General features: G+C 38.6%; 1 protein-coding gene across 5 annotated transcripts in view, besides 2 other annotated features; it reads right to left on the bottom strand.

Moving 5' to 3' along the window:
• Window positions 1-18,134, bottom strand: part of WDR70 (WD repeat domain 70) — a 374,118-nt gene that overhangs the window by 76,004 nt on the left and 279,980 nt on the right. The window lies entirely within an intron of this gene.
• Window positions 8,611-8,905: an enhancer, noted in NCBI's record as "tiled region #6618; HepG2 Activating DNase unmatched - State 8:EnhW". NCBI's record gives its function as "activates a minimal TATA promoter and a strong SV40 promoter by Sharpr-MPRA in HepG2 cells {active_cell/tissue: HepG2}" and the evidence as "EXISTENCE:reporter gene assay evidence [ECO:0000049][PMID:27701403]".
• Window positions 11,371-11,665: a silencer, noted in NCBI's record as "tiled region #3878; HepG2 Repressive DNase matched - State 23:Low, and K562 Repressive non-DNase unmatched - State 7:EnhWF". NCBI's record gives its function as "represses a minimal TATA promoter and a strong SV40 promoter by Sharpr-MPRA in HepG2 and K562 cells {active_cell/tissue: HepG2 | K562}" and the evidence as "EXISTENCE:reporter gene assay evidence [ECO:0000049][PMID:27701403]".

The raw sequence follows: 18,134 nt of genomic DNA, 5'->3' as shown, positions 1-18,134 counted from the left end.
AACATACCGGAATCTCTGGGACACATTCAAAGCAGTATGGAGAGGGAAATTTATAGCACTAAATGCCCACAAGAGAAAGCAGGAAAGATCCAAAATTGACACCCTAATGTCACAATTAAAAGAACTAGAAAAGCAAGAGCAAACACATTCAAAAGCTAGCAGAAGGCAAGAAATAACTAAAATCAGAGCAGAACTGAAGGAAATAGAGACACAAAAAACCCTTCAAAAAATTAATGAATCCAGGAGCTGATTTTTTGAAAGGATCAACAAAATTGATAGACCACTAGCAAGACTAATAAAGAAGAAAAGAGAGAAGAATCAAATAGATGCAATAAAAAATAATAAAGGGGATATCACCACCGATCCCACAGAAATATGAACTACCATCAGAGAATACTACAAACACCTCTATGCAAATAAACTAGAAAATCTAGAAGAAATGGATAAATTCCTCGACACATACACCCTCCCAAGACTAAACCAGGAAGAAGCTGAATCTCTCAATAGACCAATAACAGGATCTGAAATTGTTGCAATAATCAATAGCTTACCAACCAAAAAGAGTCCAAGACCAGATGGATTCACAGCCAAATTCTACCAGAGGTAGAAGGAGGAACGGGTACCATTCCTTCTGAAACTATTCCAATCAATAGAAAAAGAGGGAATCCTCCCTAACTCATTTTATGAGGCCAGCATCATCCTGATACCAAAGCCTGGCAGAGACACAACCAAAAAAGAGAATTTTAGACCAATATCCTTGATGAACATTGATGCAAAAATCCTCAATAAAATACTGGCAAACCGAATCCAGCAGCACATCAAAAAGCTTATCCACGATGATCAAGTGGGCTTCATCCCTGGGATGCAAGGCTGGTTCAATATACGCAAATCAATAAATGTAATCCAGCATATAAACAGAACCAAAGACAAAAACCACATGATTATCTCAATAGATGCAGAAAAGGCCTTTGACAAAATTCAACACCCTTCATGCTAAAAACTCTCAAGAAATTAGGTATTTATGGGACGTATTTCAAAATAATAAGAGCTATCTATGACAAACCCACAGCCAATATCATCCTGAATGGACAAAAACTGGAAGCATTCCCTTTGAAAACTGGCACAAGACAGGGATGCCCTCTCTCACCACTCCTATTCAACATAGTGTTGGAAGTTCTGGCCAGGGCAATTAGGCAGGAGAAGGAAATAAAGGGTATTCAATTAGGAAAAGAGGATGTCAAATTGTCCCTGTTTGCAGATGACATGATTGTATATTTAGAAAACCCCATTGTCTCAGCCCAAAATCTCCTTAAGCTGATGCGCAACTTCAGCAAAGTCTCAGGATACAAAATCAATGTACAAAAATCACAAGCATTCTTATACACCAATAACAGACAAACAGAGAGCCAAATCATGAGTGAACTCCCATTCACAATTGCTTCAAAGAGAATAAAATACCTAGGAATCCAACTTACAAGGGACGTGAAGGACCTCTTCAAGGAGAACTACAAACCACTGCTCCATGAAATAAACGAGGATACAAACAAATGGAAGAACATTCCATGCTCATGGGTAGGAAGAATAAATATCGTGAAAATGGCCATACTGCCCAAGGTAATTTATAGATTCAATGCCATCCCCATCAAGCTACCAATGACTTTCTTCACAGAATTGGAAAAAACTACTTTGAAGTTCATATGGAATCAAAACAGAACTCGCATCGCCAAGGCAATCCGAAGCCAAAAGAACAAAGCTGGAGGCATCACGCTACCTGACTTCAAACTATAGTACAAGGCTACAGTAACCAAAACAGCATGGTACTGGTACCAAAACAGAGATATAGATCAATGGAACAGAACAGAGCCCTCAGAAATAATGCTGCATATCTACAACTATCTGATCTTTGACAAACCTGAGAAAAACAAGCAATGGGGAAAGGATTCCCTACTTAAGAAATGGTGCTGGGAAAACTGGCTAGCCATATGTAGAAAGCTGAAACTGGATCCCTTCCTTACACCTTATACAAAAATTAATTCAAGATGGATTAAAGACTTAAACGTTAGACCTAAAACCATAAAAACCCTAGAAGAAAACCTAGGCATTACCATTCAGGACATAGGCATGGGTAAGGACTTCATGTCTAAAACACCAAAAGCAATGGCAACAAAAGCAAAAATTGACAAATGGGATCTAATTAAACTAAAGAGCTTCTGCACAGCAAAAGAAACTACCATCAGAGTGAACAGGCAACCTACAAAATGGGAGAAAATTTTCACAACCTACTCCTCTGACAAAGGGCTAATATCCAGAATCTACAATGAACTCAAACAAATTTACAAGAAGAAAACAAACAACCGCATCAAAAAGTGGGCGAAGGACATGAACAGACACTTCTCAAAAGAAGACATTTATGCAGCCAAAAAACACATGAAAAAATGCTCATCATCACTAGCCATCAGAGAAATGCAAATCAAAACCACAATGAGATACCATCTCACACCAGTTAGAATGGCAATCATTAAAAAGTCAGGAAACAACAGGTGCTGGAGAGGATGTAGAGAAATAGGAACACTTTTACACTGTTGGTGGGACTGTAAACTAGTTCAACCATTGTGGAAGTCAGTGTGGCGATTCCTCAGGGATCTAGAACTAGAAATACCATTTGACCCAGCCATCCCATTACTGGGTATATACCCAAAGGATTATAAATCATGCTGCTATAAAGACACATGCACACGTATGTTTATTGCGGGACTATTCACAATAGCAAAGACTTGGAACCAACCCAAACGTCCAACGATGATAGACTGGATTAAGAAAATGTGGCACATATACACCATGGAATACTATGCAGCCATAAAAAAGGGTGAGGTCATGTCCTTTGTAGGGACATGGATGAAATTGGAAATCATCATTCTCAGTAAACTATCACAAGGACAAAAAATGAAACACCGCATGTTCTCACTCATAGGTGGGAATTGAACAATGAGAACACATGGACACAGGAAGGGGAACATCACACTCTGGGGACTGTTGTGGGGTTGGGGAAGGCGGGGGAATAGCATTAGGAGATATACCTAATGCTAAATGACGAGTTAATGGGTGCAGCACACCAGCATGGCACATGTATACATATGTAACTAACCTGCACATTGTGCACATGTAAAACTTAAAGTATAATAATAATAAAATAAAAAAAAAGAAAATGGAAATTAGTTCAACCATTGTGGAAGACAGTGTGGCAATTCCTCGAAGACTTACAGGAAGAAATACCATTTGACCCATCAATCCCATTACTGTGTACATATCTAAAGGAATATTAATCATTCTATTATAAAGACACATGCATGCATATGCTCATTCCAGCACTATTCACAATAACAAAGACATGGAATCAACCTAAATGCCCATCAATGATAGACTGGATAAAGAAAACGTGGTACATACACACCATGGAATACTGTGTAGCCATAAAAATGAAGAAGATAATGTCCTTTTGCAAGGACATGGATGGAGGTGGAGGCCATTATCCTTAGCAAACTAACGCAGGAACAGAAAACCAAATACTGCATGTTCTCACAAGTGGGAGCTAAATGATGAGAACACATGGACACATGGGGAGGGGGAAACAACACACACTGGGGCCTGTTGTTAGGGGGCATGGGTGAAGGGAGAGAATCGGGAAGAATAGCTAATGAACACTGGACTTAGTATCTGTGTGTTGGGATGATCTGTGCAGCCAATAACCATGGCACATATTTACCTATGTAACAAACCTGCACATCCTGCACATGTACCCCTGAACTTCAAATAAAAGTTGGAAAGAAAAAAAAAGGGTGGGGGGGGGGTAAGAAAAGTCAAAAAATAGCAGGCGCTCATGAAGTTGCAGAGAAAAAGGAATGCTTATACACTGTTGGTGGGAGTGTAAATTAGTTCAACCACTGTGGAAAGCAGTGGCTGATTCTTCAAAGGGCTAAAAACAGAACCACCATTTGACCCAGCAATCCCATTACTGGGTATATGCCCAAAGGAATAGACATGGTTCTATTATAAAAACACATGCATATATATGTTCACTGCAACACTGTTCACAATAGCAAAGACATGGAATAAGCCTAAAAGCTCATCAATAGTAGACTGGATAAAGAAACTGTGGTACATACACACCATGGAATACTACAAAAGCTTAAAGAAGAATGAGATCACATCTTTTGCAGGAACATGGATGGAGATGGAGGCCATTATGCTTAGCAAACTAACACAGGAACAGAAAACCAAATACTGCATGTTCTCACTTATAAGTGGGAGCTAAATGATGAGAACACATGGACACGCAGACGGGAACAACACACACTGGGGCCTATGGGAGGGTGGAGGGTGGGAGGAGAGAGAGGATCAGGAAAAACAACTAATAGGTACTAGGCTTAATACCTGGGTGAAAAAATAATCTGTACAACAAACCCCCCCGCCTCCATGATACAAGTTTACCTATATAACAAACCTGCACATGTAGCCCTGAACCTGAAGTAAAAGTCAGAAGATGAAGGGGTGGCCTGCCCCTCCACACCTGTGGGTATTTCCCATCAGGTGGGACGAGAGACTGAGAAAAGAAATAAGACACAGAGACAAAGTACAGAGCAAGAACAGTGGGCCCAGGAGACCAGCGCTCAGCATATGGAGGACCTGCACCGGCACTGGTCTCTGAGTTTCCTCAGTATTTACTGATTGCTATTTTCACTATCTTGGCAAGGGGAATGTGGCAGGAGAACAGGCTAAGAGTGGGGAGAAGGTCAGCAGGAAAATATGTGAGCAAAGGAATCTGTGTCACAAATAAGTTCAAGGGAAGGTACTATGCCTGGATGTGCACATAGGCCAGATTTATGTTTCTCTCCACCCAAACATCTCAGTGTAGCAAAGAGTAACAGAGCAACATTGCCGCCAGCATATCTCGCCTCCAGCCACAGGGTGGTTTTCTCCTATCTCAGAACAGAACGAATGTACGAGCGGGTTTTACACCTAGACATTCGTTCCCAGGGACATGCAGGAGACGGAGGCCTTCCTCTTATCTCAACCACAAGAGGACTTCCTCTTTTACTAATCCTCCTCAGCACAGACGCTTCACGGGTGTCAGGCTGGGGGACAGTCAGGTCTTTCCCTTCCCACGAGGCCATATCTCAGGCTGTCTCAGTGGGGGGAAACCTTGGACAGTACCCAGGCTTTCTTGGGCAGAGGTCCCTGCGGCTTTCCACCGTGCACTGTGACCCTGGTTAATTGAGAATGGAGAATGGCAATGACTTTTACCAAGCATACTGCCTGTAAACATATTGTTAACAAGGCACATCCTGCACAGCCCTAGATCCCTTAAACCTTGATTCCATACAGCACATGTTTCTGTGAGCACAGGGTTGGGGCTAAAGTTACAGATTAATAGCATCTCAAGGCAAAACAATTGTTCAAATACAGATCAAAATGGAATTTCTTATGTCTTCCTTTTCTACATAGACACAGTAACAGTCTGATCTCTTTTTCCCTACAGGAAAAGTCCCCCCCAAAAAACCAGCAAAGTATTGTGATTACAGGTGTGAGCCACCACGCCTGTTCCACAAAGCCCTAAATATGCCACCTCTGGAAATTGTCAATAATCTTAACATTTTACAGTGGTACCAAAAGTCAGTCAGTTTATATCCAGTAGCTGCCTAGATACCAATGTCTGCCTATTACTCTAGTGTATCTATCAATGCAGGAGAAAGACAGTCTTCAAAATGGTCAAAATGCCTCTCATAAGAAATAGAAACAGTGGAAAAAACTATTTCAAAGGTAAGAATTTAAATGAATTACTGTCTGAAAATAGAGAAAATATTAATAGAAAGATTACTAGTCCTAGGGCTAGGACTACTTGACCTAAAATTTTAGCTTACTACATTTAAGTTTGATCCTGGCCAAGCTGCTAGACTTTTCCAGTTTTCAGTTTATTAATCTTTAAAATAATATGCCTTGCAACCTCCCACCCCTGCCCTTCTCCCCCACTCACAAAAAGACTGAGTTACAGTTAATCTGCTATTTCCCTGTCTTATGTCAATACTACAGGTTTATTAAGTCTATCATGCGTACCTCTTCTCAGAAAGGTCCTAAAATGCAACTATGCTGCAAAACACAAATTCCAATAATAAGATGAGCCAAACGCTAGGCTACCTAACAAACTGGGTGTACCAACATTTGACTGTCCTCTCATACCTATCCCTATGACCTCTCAATAGAATTGTTTTTTCTCCTCATTGGGAATCTGTTTTCAAGCTTAGTGGTAACCAAACAATTCCAATAATTCTATGTTTTCAATCACATGTTAGGGTTACTTACTATACCAGGATTTAAAGTACTCCAATATGCCAAGATTTAAAAAATAAAATAAATCCAGGTCTAGACTGAATATAACTTTCTCCTGTTTCTCTGATTTTAGAGACCTGTAGGAAGGACAATGCGGATACAAGTATAGAACTGTCATATAAAGGTGCTTTGCAAATCCATATAAATTCAACTAATATTTACATGCCAAATATTGTCCCAGCCACTGGCGATATAGCAGTGAACAAAATAAAGACCCCATTCCGTGAAGGTTTCATTTCAGTGAGGGAAAATGGATAACAAAATATCTCTAATAGATTTTGTGACATTCAAATTAATATACTATATGAAAGTATGGTATAATGATGAAGAGCACAGACTATAGAGCCAGACTGCTGAGATCAAATCTTGGCTCTTCCACTTACAAGTAGTCACAATTACTTGTGATTCCAAGGTCACATCTATATGATCTTGGGCTAATCTTCCTATGCCTGTTTCTTCAACTATTAAATGAGAATAGTAATAGTACCCACTTCATAAGCTGCTGGGAAAATTTAATGAGTTACTGAAAATGTGGCACACCCCTTTACAATATAATTTTGCTGTTCTTTTTATCAAGATGTGGCATCTGTTTCTCTATACTTTGTATCTTGGTATGGACACGCGACTTGCTTTGGCTTATGAGAAATGTAGCCTCTCACACCTCCCATCGTGAAAAGCATAAATGACTGACACTCTCGCTGCCTCTGTCACTGAGTATGCTTTGCAAGGCCTGAGTGTGGAGGATAAATGGAATTCCAGTTAGCTTGGCCAAAACTTTCTTAGCATCGTGCAGTAGTCCAAGATCCTTTCAGCATATACTCCCCCTTTTTTTCTTTTCTTTTGATATAAGATTTTTATTGAGACACAATTCACATACCATGCACTTTGCTCACTTAAACTATGTAGTTCAACGTTTTCAGTATATTCCAAGAGTTGCGCAGCCACCAGTACAATCAATTTTAGAACCTCGCACTACCCCAAAAGGAAACCCCATACACATGAGCAATCACAATCACTCCCTTTTTTTTCTTAATATTTCAGTCCTAAGCAACCACTAATTTAGTTTCTGTGTAGATTTGCCTAAACTGAACACTTCATACAAATGAAATCATAAAACATGCTGCCTTTTGTGACAGCTTCTTTCATTTAGCGTAATGTTTTTGAGGTTCGTCCATGTTGCAGTATGTATCAGCACTTCATTTCTTTTTATTGCCAAATAATATTTCACTGTATGGATGTACCACATTTTATTTATCCATTCATCAGCTGATGGATATTCAATATTCCATTCTTTCCTCTCTCCTTCACAAACGCATGGTCTACATCATGGTCTGACTCTCTCCAGACTTCTCTGGCTCCCTCCCCAATTTCCCTTCTAGGTACTCCCCAGTAAATCTCTTACACATTTAATCCTGTCTTGGTGTCTGCTTCTCAGAGGACCCAGACTAACACAAGTGGTACCAGCAGTGGTCTGACAACACAGGTGGTAAGAGGAGAATCTGGGACTGCCTCACTCATTGCCCAGGAGGATAGCTTCAGTCCAGGAGTTTGAGGCTGTAGTGAGCCATTACTGCACCACTGCACTCCAGCCTGGGCTACAGAGCAAGACCCCTGACTCTAAAGAAAACAAAATGTTTTTTTTTTTTTAAAAAAAAGATAATTATGTTCCAGGTCAAGATGTTTTCCCCCTTCCCTCTCTCCTTCCTTCCTTTCTTTTAAAGAAATAATTTAAAAACAAAAGACAGTGGGATCTGACAAAGATTTCTGAAAAGTCCATTCAGCATCCCCATAATGTAAAAGTGAAATAAGGAAGTTTTTGGAATCTACATTTACAATGTCAACAACATTTACTGAGAACCTGTTATACACACAACACTGAGATATATAAATAAAAAGAAAATACAGAATTTTCTTGAAATAATTTGCAAGTTGGGAAAGGGGGAAAACATGTATGACCTCATATTCTTTCATAAAACATTTATTGCACCAACTATAAACCAGGCATTTTGGAGGGCACCAAAATGGCTAAGAATGCTCTATGCCATTAATGAGGAAGCTCACAAATGAGAAAGAGAGTGTGCATTTACAACCAGGGTGGAATCTTCCAGGAGGGTTCTCTACTTTCAGTCCAGGTTCACTATTGCAACCACTGGGATTTCAGAAAACAGCTATGACTTAGCATTTATTTTTTATCTGTGTTTGGCAAAGAGATAACCCAGCCTTCATTCATAACTGGCCTATGTTGTAATTATATGCCTGTTTGGTCATCTCAAACCAGGTGACCACAGTGTGTGACTACCTAGGACTCTAACTGATGACCAGCTGGAAGCTGCAGCTGCGGGAGAAAGCTCAACCACTTAGATGTGTGAGTCACAGGCAGAATATGATGCCACCGCTCTGGAATCTTCTGGCTCCCTGTGTGCTTGCAACTTGAAATTGAAGGTGTTTACTTTAGTCTATAAAACAAACCCCTTATGGCTAATGCACAAGTTACCTTCACATTAATCTCTCTTCTTATAAACCCTAGTTGAGACCAGTTGGTATATCACTTAGGCACTCTAAATTTATGCTTCAGAAATCTGAATGCAAAAAAACATTTTAAGTCCTACAGAAGACCCATGCTTTTAGAATTTCAAGAAGGCATGAAATGAAACATCCTGTCTTTCTTGGACTTTGAGACTCTAATTTATAATCTTCAGACATCATACAGAATCATTCAAAAAGGCAGATATTATCTGATTAGATGACTTAAATATCTGGTATATTTTACTGTTCTGATGCTAAGCAAAATATAATTTTTACTGGGAAAAAAATGATACAACTAACACAGAATTTCATATGATATTCTGTAGGTCTCCAAATGAGGATATCACCTAAATCACCAAGAGGAATGATTTAGAAAGAAAGTCCTTCCAGAGAGAAAGCCCAAGAGCAAGGGTTCCTAGAGAATTGTTTTTTGTTTTGTTTTGTTTTGCTTTGTTTGTTTTTGTAACATCATCATATTAGGGGACTACAGCCAAGTAAGCCTGCGAAACTAGAGTTTATTTGCACACCATGGCCTTGTCTTGAAGATTCACAATAAACATGAGTATATTAAAAGCCAAAGTCTTTTAAGTAGTAGTCCTAGAATAAATCAACCTCCTTAACATTTCTAAAGCTTATTTGACTATAGAACCTTTTTTTTTTTTTTTTTTTTTTTTTTTCAGATCGTACAGACTAGCATGGATTGAACTAACATTCTCTGGACCTCACTGGAGAAACATATACCTAGAGCAAGGTCTAGCAAACTTTTTCTAGAAAGGGGCTTATAATACATATTTTAGGCTTTGAGGACCATACAGACTCTGTTGCAACTGTTCACTTCTCCTGTTGTAGCATGAAAGCAGCCATAGCTAATACATAAACAAATGGATAAGGCTATGCAATCCAGCAAAACTTTATTTATAAAAAAGAGGACAGGCTGAATTTGGCCCACAATTAGCTCACTTTTATCTGGAAAAAACTAAAACCTTAGGAAAAAGACCTCTATTTGTCAAATCACTGTTAGCTAAGTTAAAGGCCTCCTGTGATTCAGTAAGAATTTTAAATGGCAACATTAATGGTGGTGGAAATAATAATAATGATGATAATAACAGCAACAGCTACAGTTACTGAACATGTTGCTATTCAGTGCAGTAAAACATACATTTTCCAATTTCATCATTAAAAGAAAGCCTCCTGGGGTATGTGTAATTATTATCTCATTTTACAAACAAGAAAACTGAGGCTGAGTGAAATGAATGGCCCTCAGTGAATGACACCTCCTTGTATCCCCAGGGATGACAGTGCAAGGAGTGAGATGGACAGCATAAAATAACTTTTTTTCTCCTTCAAATTATATAATGCATTCTTTTTGCATTATTTTAGATTTCTCAAAAAAGTCTAGTATAAATTCAATCTAAGGCAGAAGCTAGTAGTGTTTCATCCACGAAGAGGCAATAAAAATCACCTACCAGTCACTTGTTACCTCCCTCTAGATCCAGTCATGGGGGCTGGTACATAGTAATAGCAAAAACATGTATTGGACACTCACTATGGGCTAGATATTGTCCTAAGTGCATGGAATCTAATAACCCTTTGAATCTTCTCAACTGTCCTAAGAGATAAGTACTATTATTATCCCCACTTTCCAGGGAGAGTATGGGGTGCAGAAAGGTAAGGTTAGTTACCCTAGACATGTGACCAGTAAGGGGCAGAGCCAGGATTTGAACCCAAGCAGTGTGTCCCAGGATCTGCACACTTAACGACCACTATACATGGTACATAGTACTCATGGTTCCTCTGATTTCAGGCTACCTCTGCTCTGACCCTCATTTGCAACTAAAGTGAGCCTAGACTCTGTTTGTGCAGCACCCTTGTTCTTCCCTTGCTAGGCCAGTCCTGTCACCAACCACCAACGGAATCTGAATGTGAAAAGTAGGGAAGTAAAGCAAGAGTTAGGTGTAGAATAGTGGGTTCTATTAGCACTACCACAGTTTCTGAAAACAGATAAAATTATCATCCGTTGCTAGACCCAATCTCAGGCCATAGCTAAACTGAGTCCATAAGCACAAGCTGATTGGCCTTTATTCAAGATCACACCAAGAGTCCCTAAAGTAATTTAAAACTTGGCAAATAGCACAGTTACTAACTGGCAATAAGGAAAACACACTCGCTGCTGTAGATCTCCTTAGTTGCCCTTTATATGATATCACCTTTTCTTCTTTATCTTTAACTCCTAAGTCTGGGGTAACAGGAGTTGGGGATCTTAGGCTGTCTATGTCACATAAGAAACACAAGTGTGAACACAAGTGCAGATCCCAATTCAGCTTTTAATTGAAGAGGAAAGCCACCATGCCAACACCGGAAGCACAGCGCCGTGGAATGACCTGCCTAGACGGGAGGGAAAGCCCGGCGGTGCCCCCCTTTGAAGTCCAGCTGCCTGAGATTCACTGGCAGCCGACCTTCAAAGAGAGCCGATGCTTCCTTCCCTCAGCCTGGCTGCCAAGCTTCCCGGGCAGCTGGGCAGATTTAGCCACTCTCTCCCCAGCTGTCTGTGAACGCTGGCAGCCAGTTCAAGTGACGGATAGAGAGGTGGTAAGGAAGGGAGGGTGAGGAAGCAGAGGAGAGGGTGGCGGGCCCAGTGGCGCCAGGGAAAAGAGGATGCTGGGTTTCCTTGGAGCTGACCTTATCAAAGTCAGTCAAAAAGACAAAGCTTCCAAAGGGAGTACAATCCAACTATACGACAAAGCAACTTTCCAGAGAACAGGGAGATTTCAAATACACTTTCCTTCAAAAGCTGAGTGAATCTGAAATGTACTCATCTAAAGATAACCCAATTGCTGCAGAAAATAGTCCTATCTCTACATAGGGATGTGAGAAACAAAGTCAAGGTCAAGCATCAAAATGTACAAATTTTTGACTGATTTTTATTTTCCAGCAGCATGAGTTCACACTTCTTAGAGACTTTTGGGGGTTGTTTGCTGACTTTGTTGTGGCAACCCTTCTGTTCCCCTGGCAGCCAATTGCTGAAACAACTTATCTGTTTCTGCGCCTGTGCAGCAGATGCTTGGACAAGACTGGCTTATTTAACATAAACATTACCAATGTGCTGTTATGTTTATCCTGTTGAACCCACATGCTTGGAGTAGGGAATAGTGAGTGTTATCAGCTGCAGGTACAAAGGGGATGCAGAGCAGTTCTGTAAGTGACCACAAACTCTCAAAAGAAGTCTACTCAATAACAAGACTTCAAATTTGGTAAAGTAGGAGACAAAGTGATGAGAATATAGGTGAATGGAAAGAAGAACTGAAGAGGTATAAAGAGAAAAGTAAATCATCAGATTTTCATTGTATATGAAGTCCTCTGGCAGCTATATGGCAATGAAGGAAAGATAGATTAGAAGCCAAGGAGAAAAAGGATCATACATCTCAGGAAATCTTTTCTCTGTTTAGTACAATTTGACTAAAAAAGGAATGCATGGATGAGCTGGTACACTTGACAATATGAACAAAAGACCTACATATTCGTACAGACCATCTTATTAAGTCACTAGCTACAAATTTATCTTCCCTATTCTTTAGATTGCCTTGAAACTGTATGACACAGCATCCAGCACTAAGTTCAGTGATACTAAACACATCCAATCCAAAACTTATTATCTAAATTTAAAAGTATAATGCTGATCTTATAGAAGAACAACCAATTAATATTTGCTAAAATTCACTCATTCTACAAACATTTAGGAGCCCTTGTTATGTGCAAGGCACTATGCCAGGTGTGGCAGATGTCAAGATCGGTTAAATGGCTCCTTACCCAACAATGAGATCTGTCTAGAAAGGGAGGCAAACATTCAAAACAAATATCTACAATAAATTGTACAAAAAAATGGCAATATCCATAAACTGTATAGTAAAAACACCAAGAAAAGGTCAACTTTATCATGGTAGTATAATATTAATAGGTTCAGAAGGAATAGAAGATGGGAAAAGAAGTCAGGTAAAGCCTGGTGAGGATGCTGGATCACAGTCTTTGAAAGTTAAGGAGGAGATCTCTAGGGATACAAGGAAATACTACTCCACTAGAGGACACTGAATAGAAAAGTCTTAGAAGTGTGAAATAGCACCTTACTTTTGGATCTATAGGTAGGACTCAATAACAGACCAGGAGCAGATAAAACTGGAGAGCCAGAGATCAAACCATTAGTGGCTTCATATGCCCTTCTATGGAGTTTAATTTTTCAACTTGTGGGTAATGTTGATTTTTTGAAGGGATTTAAGGACAGAGGAGTAATATTGTCATAAGAGTATTTTAAAAGATCACCCTGCAGTGGTGGGAAAGATGAATTGGAAAAAGGAAGACTGAAGACAGGGAGGATGAGTCAAGAAACATCTGCAGTGTTCTAGGTGAGGGCTTGAGCTGTGTCATTAATGGAGGAGTAGGTAAGACAGCAATTTAAATTGCAGTCGGTGGCTTTGGTATGGGCAGTTCCAGCTAATTTGTGAAGTGGATGTTGCAAATATAGTCTACTCTGGGTAGAAACCTGGCAATAAAAAAAGTTAGAGTTGGAGAAAGCTTTTGTTAAATAAAATAAATAAAAAGCAGAAACTTGAGCATATTTTCTAGGAGCCAGTAGGGATGAAAAGGATAAAAATACAGGAAAGGGAGTAACTGATAGAATTAGGGCTCAAAGGAAGCAGGAAGGACATAATCAGGCACGCAGGTGGAAGGATTAGTGGGGAACTACAAGAGAAAGACCTCTTCCTTGGCGACTGCAGGGAAGGAGGCTGAGAGACCACAGCAGTATGCGCACAGAGATACATACAAGGGCACAAAGTCTACCAGAAGTCCGGCCTATTGTCCCTATTTTTCCAAGTAAATGAGAGGAGATAATTGAGTAGGAAATGGGGGTTGTAACGTAAACCAGAGAAGAGTTGGGGAAGTTTGAAAACACCCAATGAGATGAATGACAAGAATTAACTGGACATAGAAAAAAAGAGACTGCCAAGGCCAGGAAGGCCCAAAAGAAAATAAAAATCATAAATCTGGAATGGCACTACCCTGCAAAACTGTGGGCTTTTTTTCAGGTCGGACTTAAGAGCCAGAGCAAGGAAGCAAGGAAATCATATTACTGGGATAGTCGAGTAGAAAACAGAAAATAAAGCACAGTTTAAAATCTTGGTAAAATATGTATTACAGAAATCAAATAATCCTTTGCCTTTTCTCCGAGTACTATGTTCTGGAGTTAACTGGTTTAAATTTGCATTTTTGGCTCAAAAGTCAAAACCGCAGTCAGTATAATGCAACTTTAACTTTTGTAATGCTCTATTACAAAACTAAAACCATTTTCCCTTTTTAAAATCACTTTGTTAAAGAAAGTGCCCTCATAATAACAAAAAATGAGTATAAATATTTTGTTTATTATGAGGACTGTATTGTTTCAAAAAAGCAGGAGTTCCAATTTACTCACTTGAGAAAATCAATTTGAAGCAAATGTTTATTGGTTGCTTTCTGGGTCCCTGGCATTGTGCTGTGCTTGTGGGAACAGATGTAAAACATAATCTCTGCCTTCAAGAAGATTACACTGTAATTCATAGTCTCAGTATTTTAATAACACTTTTTCCTTGTTAAAAACCTCTCAGATTTGATGATCCTACTGACGTAGCCCTTTCAACTAAAACCATAAAAACAATCATTAACCAAGTAGTAACTGTCAGAGAAAAACAAGAAATAAAATTGTATTTTCATTTATCTTTTTTAACACTCCCAACTATACTTAGGATCATTTATTTTTAATTTGAGTAAGAGAGACGGTGGAAGAAATGAAGAGGAATTTACAACAATTTACAGGCATTCAAAAAATTAGGGATTTCCAGCTTTTCCTAATAAACAAAAAGATCTAACACCCCTCATTTCCACATTGCAACAACAGGCTGATGGAGGAAAGAGACTGCCTTAAGGTAACATGACGAAACAAACTGTCTTAATCTGAAGTAAAAAAGATGTTGTAACTCACTTATTAGTAAATCATTAAATACAAGCACAGGGATGCACTGAACCCATTTTAATTAAGGTAGGTCAGGTCGTTTTCCCCTTTGGGCAGACAAATGTGTTTTGGGGATGAACACAAATCAGTCTTTCTTAAGTTGAAATCTAAAAAAAAAACTCCTTGAAGTATTTAGTATTTACCTTTATCCTGGAAAACATTTTCTTATCTGTAAAACTGTGCTACTTCCACAAGCTCAGAATCTTCTCTTAAACTCTCCTGTTCACCTGAGTTTTAAAGGGAAAACACTGAAGCTTTGCTGTTTACCAGTATGTCATGTTCTGAAAGGCTATTCATAAGTGCACTTTGTTCCTAATGAAACCACCTTTGCAAAAATTATAACCGAGGAAATTATGGCAGTGAAAGAGATCAGACCTAACTGACTTCTTGCTTCTAACCTTTAAGTTGTCCTTGCTCATTCATGGGCGTGAACTAATCTTGGGAAGGAATTCAGTTTATGGTTTGACTCTGAAACAAAATAGATAATAGCCTTTTCCAGAAAAGAGCCCTTCTTGCCTGGGGACCATTCTGCCTTTGCAGTACTAACAAATTAGTTACAAGATTAGAAATTACAGTTTAAGGGTCATGCAACCTCTGGCTGCAAGAGTCTGAACCTCCCCAAATTGCTCCTGGGGATAAAATCACTATTAATTACTATGAATAACATCACTATTGCAAAACCTAAGATCGGTGCTTGAGATATTTTGCAGACCCTGCACTTGATGGATCAGCTAACACGACCCAGACTGGTTATCTGGCTCAACCAGTTCTGTGATCCTACCCAGGAACATAAGACAACAAGAAAACCTCACTTCCATCCTCTATGATTCTATCTCCAACCTGACCAATCAGCACTCCCCACTTATATCTATCTTATGTTTAAAAACTCTGATCCCCGAATGCTTGAAGAGACTAATTTGAGTAATAATAAAACTCCAGTCTCCCACACAGCTGGCTCTGCATGAATTACTCTTTCTCCATTGCAATTCCTCTGTCTTGATAAATTGGCTCTGTCTAGGCAGTCCTTCACACTATCCACTGGTGGCAGGCACTGCTTTGGCCCAGGGCCACAGGCCAGATACTACATTTCGATATAGGGCTAAAACTATCTGCCACTGACATAGGGTCAGGAAGCCCTCCTATACCCTATCCCTTCACAGAGAAAAAGAAAGCGTTTGCTCTGACCCAAGACCCCCTACAGACACAAAGCAGCATTCAGCTGCCATCAAGACAAGGGGCAGTAAACCCTCCTATGTTCTAGAGCCATACTGTCCAATGTTGTAGCCACCTGCCACATATATTGAGATCATTAAAAACGGCTACTGTGATTAAGAAATTAAATTTTAATTTTAACTAAGTTACATTTAAATACAGTTGTCCCTTGCTATCTGTGGGGATTGGCTACAGGACTTCCTGTGGATAACAAAATCTGAGGATGCACAAGTCCCATATATAAAATGGTGTAGTATTTGCATGAAAACTATGTACATCCTACTATACACTTTAAATCATCTCCAGATTATTTATAATCCTAATACAATGTAAATGCTACATAAATGGTTGTTACACTGTATTTTTAAATTTGTTGGCCTTCTTTTATTGTTGTATTATAATTTTTTCTGAATATTTTCAATCTGTGGTTGGTTGAATCTGCTGATGCAGAACCTGAATATATGTTGGGCCAACTGTAGTCACATATATGGGACAGCACAGATCTACATGCTTCAATTAAAAAGCAAAAGTTGTTATATGAGATTTTAAAAAGCAAGAGTCAACCACAGACATCTATAAAAAACTTACTGAAGATCAGCCTAAAAATAAAAGAACAGAAAAAGATTTACCAGGCAAATACAAATCAAAAGTAACCTGCAGAAGCTATATATCAGACAAAGTAGAGGCTCTAAAGAATAAGAAATGTTACCAGGAGTCAGGGTATGTAACATAATGATGAAAGGGTCAATTCAGCAAAAAAATATAATGCTAAATGTGTATGTACCCAATAAGAGAGACTTAAAATACAGAAAAAAAAAAAACTGAAAGGAGAAATAGACACATCCACAACTATAGATGAGATTTCAATATTCCTCTCTCAGTAATTGATAAAATAAGTAAGACATAAAATCAATAGATATAGGCTGACATGATCAACACTATCAACCAACTTGACCTAATTGATATTTATAGAATACTCTATCCCCAAACAGAATACATATTCTTGCTAAGTATAAATGAAATATTTATTGAGATAAACTATATTCTGGATCAAAAAACAAATCATTATAAATTTAAAAGTTTAAAATCATAGGAATTATATTCCAGACTACAATGGGATTAAAATAGAACTCAATTAGCAATTGATTTCTATCAATTAACAGATTAATTAACAATCAACAGATTAATATTAGAAACCCAAAATATTTGGAAATTATACTACACACTTCTAAATATTCCATAGTTCAAAAATAAATCACAAAAGTAGAAAATATTTTGACATAAATATTTACTCACTGAAAACATAAACATAAAATATCAAACTTTTGGAAGGTGTTATGAACTGAATGCTTGTGCCACCCAAAATTCATATGTTGAAGTTCTAACACCCAATGTTTTAGCATTGGAGGTGAGGCCTTTTGGAGGTAATTAGGTTTAGATGAGTTTATGAGGATGGGCCGCTATGATGGAATTAGTGTCCATATAAGAAGAGGAAGACAGAGCCTGTCCCTCCCTACTCCACTCCATCTCTTTCAGTCACATGAGGATGCAGACAGGAAGCCCTCTGCAAGCTAGAAGCGGGCCTCTACTAGGAACCAAATCTGGGGGCACCTGGATCTTGAACTTCCCAGTCTCCAGAACTGTGAAAAATAAATATCTGTTATCTACCCAGTCTAAAGTATTTTGTTATGGCAGCCTGAGCTAAGACACAAAGCAGTGTTTAGAGAAGAATTTAAGGCATTTAATGTATATATTCAAAAAGATATTTCAAATAAAATTCCTATGCTTCCACTTTAAGAAATTAGAAGACAATGAGCAAATAAGAAGGAAGACAATAACAAACAGTAGAAATAAAAAAAATAGAAAAACAGGAACAAAATCTATTGGAAACTGAAATTAAAAATACTATTTTCAAGAATATCAAAAACATGGAATTAAATAAAAATCTGTATCAAATTATGACTTCCATAGTTAA

The sequence above is a fragment of the Homo sapiens genome, chromosome 5 (genome assembly GCF_000001405.40).
Source record: "Homo sapiens chromosome 5, GRCh38.p14 Primary Assembly".
NCBI lineage: Eukaryota > Metazoa > Chordata > Mammalia > Primates > Hominidae > Homo > Homo sapiens.
The sequence above is the reverse complement of the archived record's forward strand: the minus strand, read 5'-3'. Positions and strand labels throughout refer to the sequence as shown.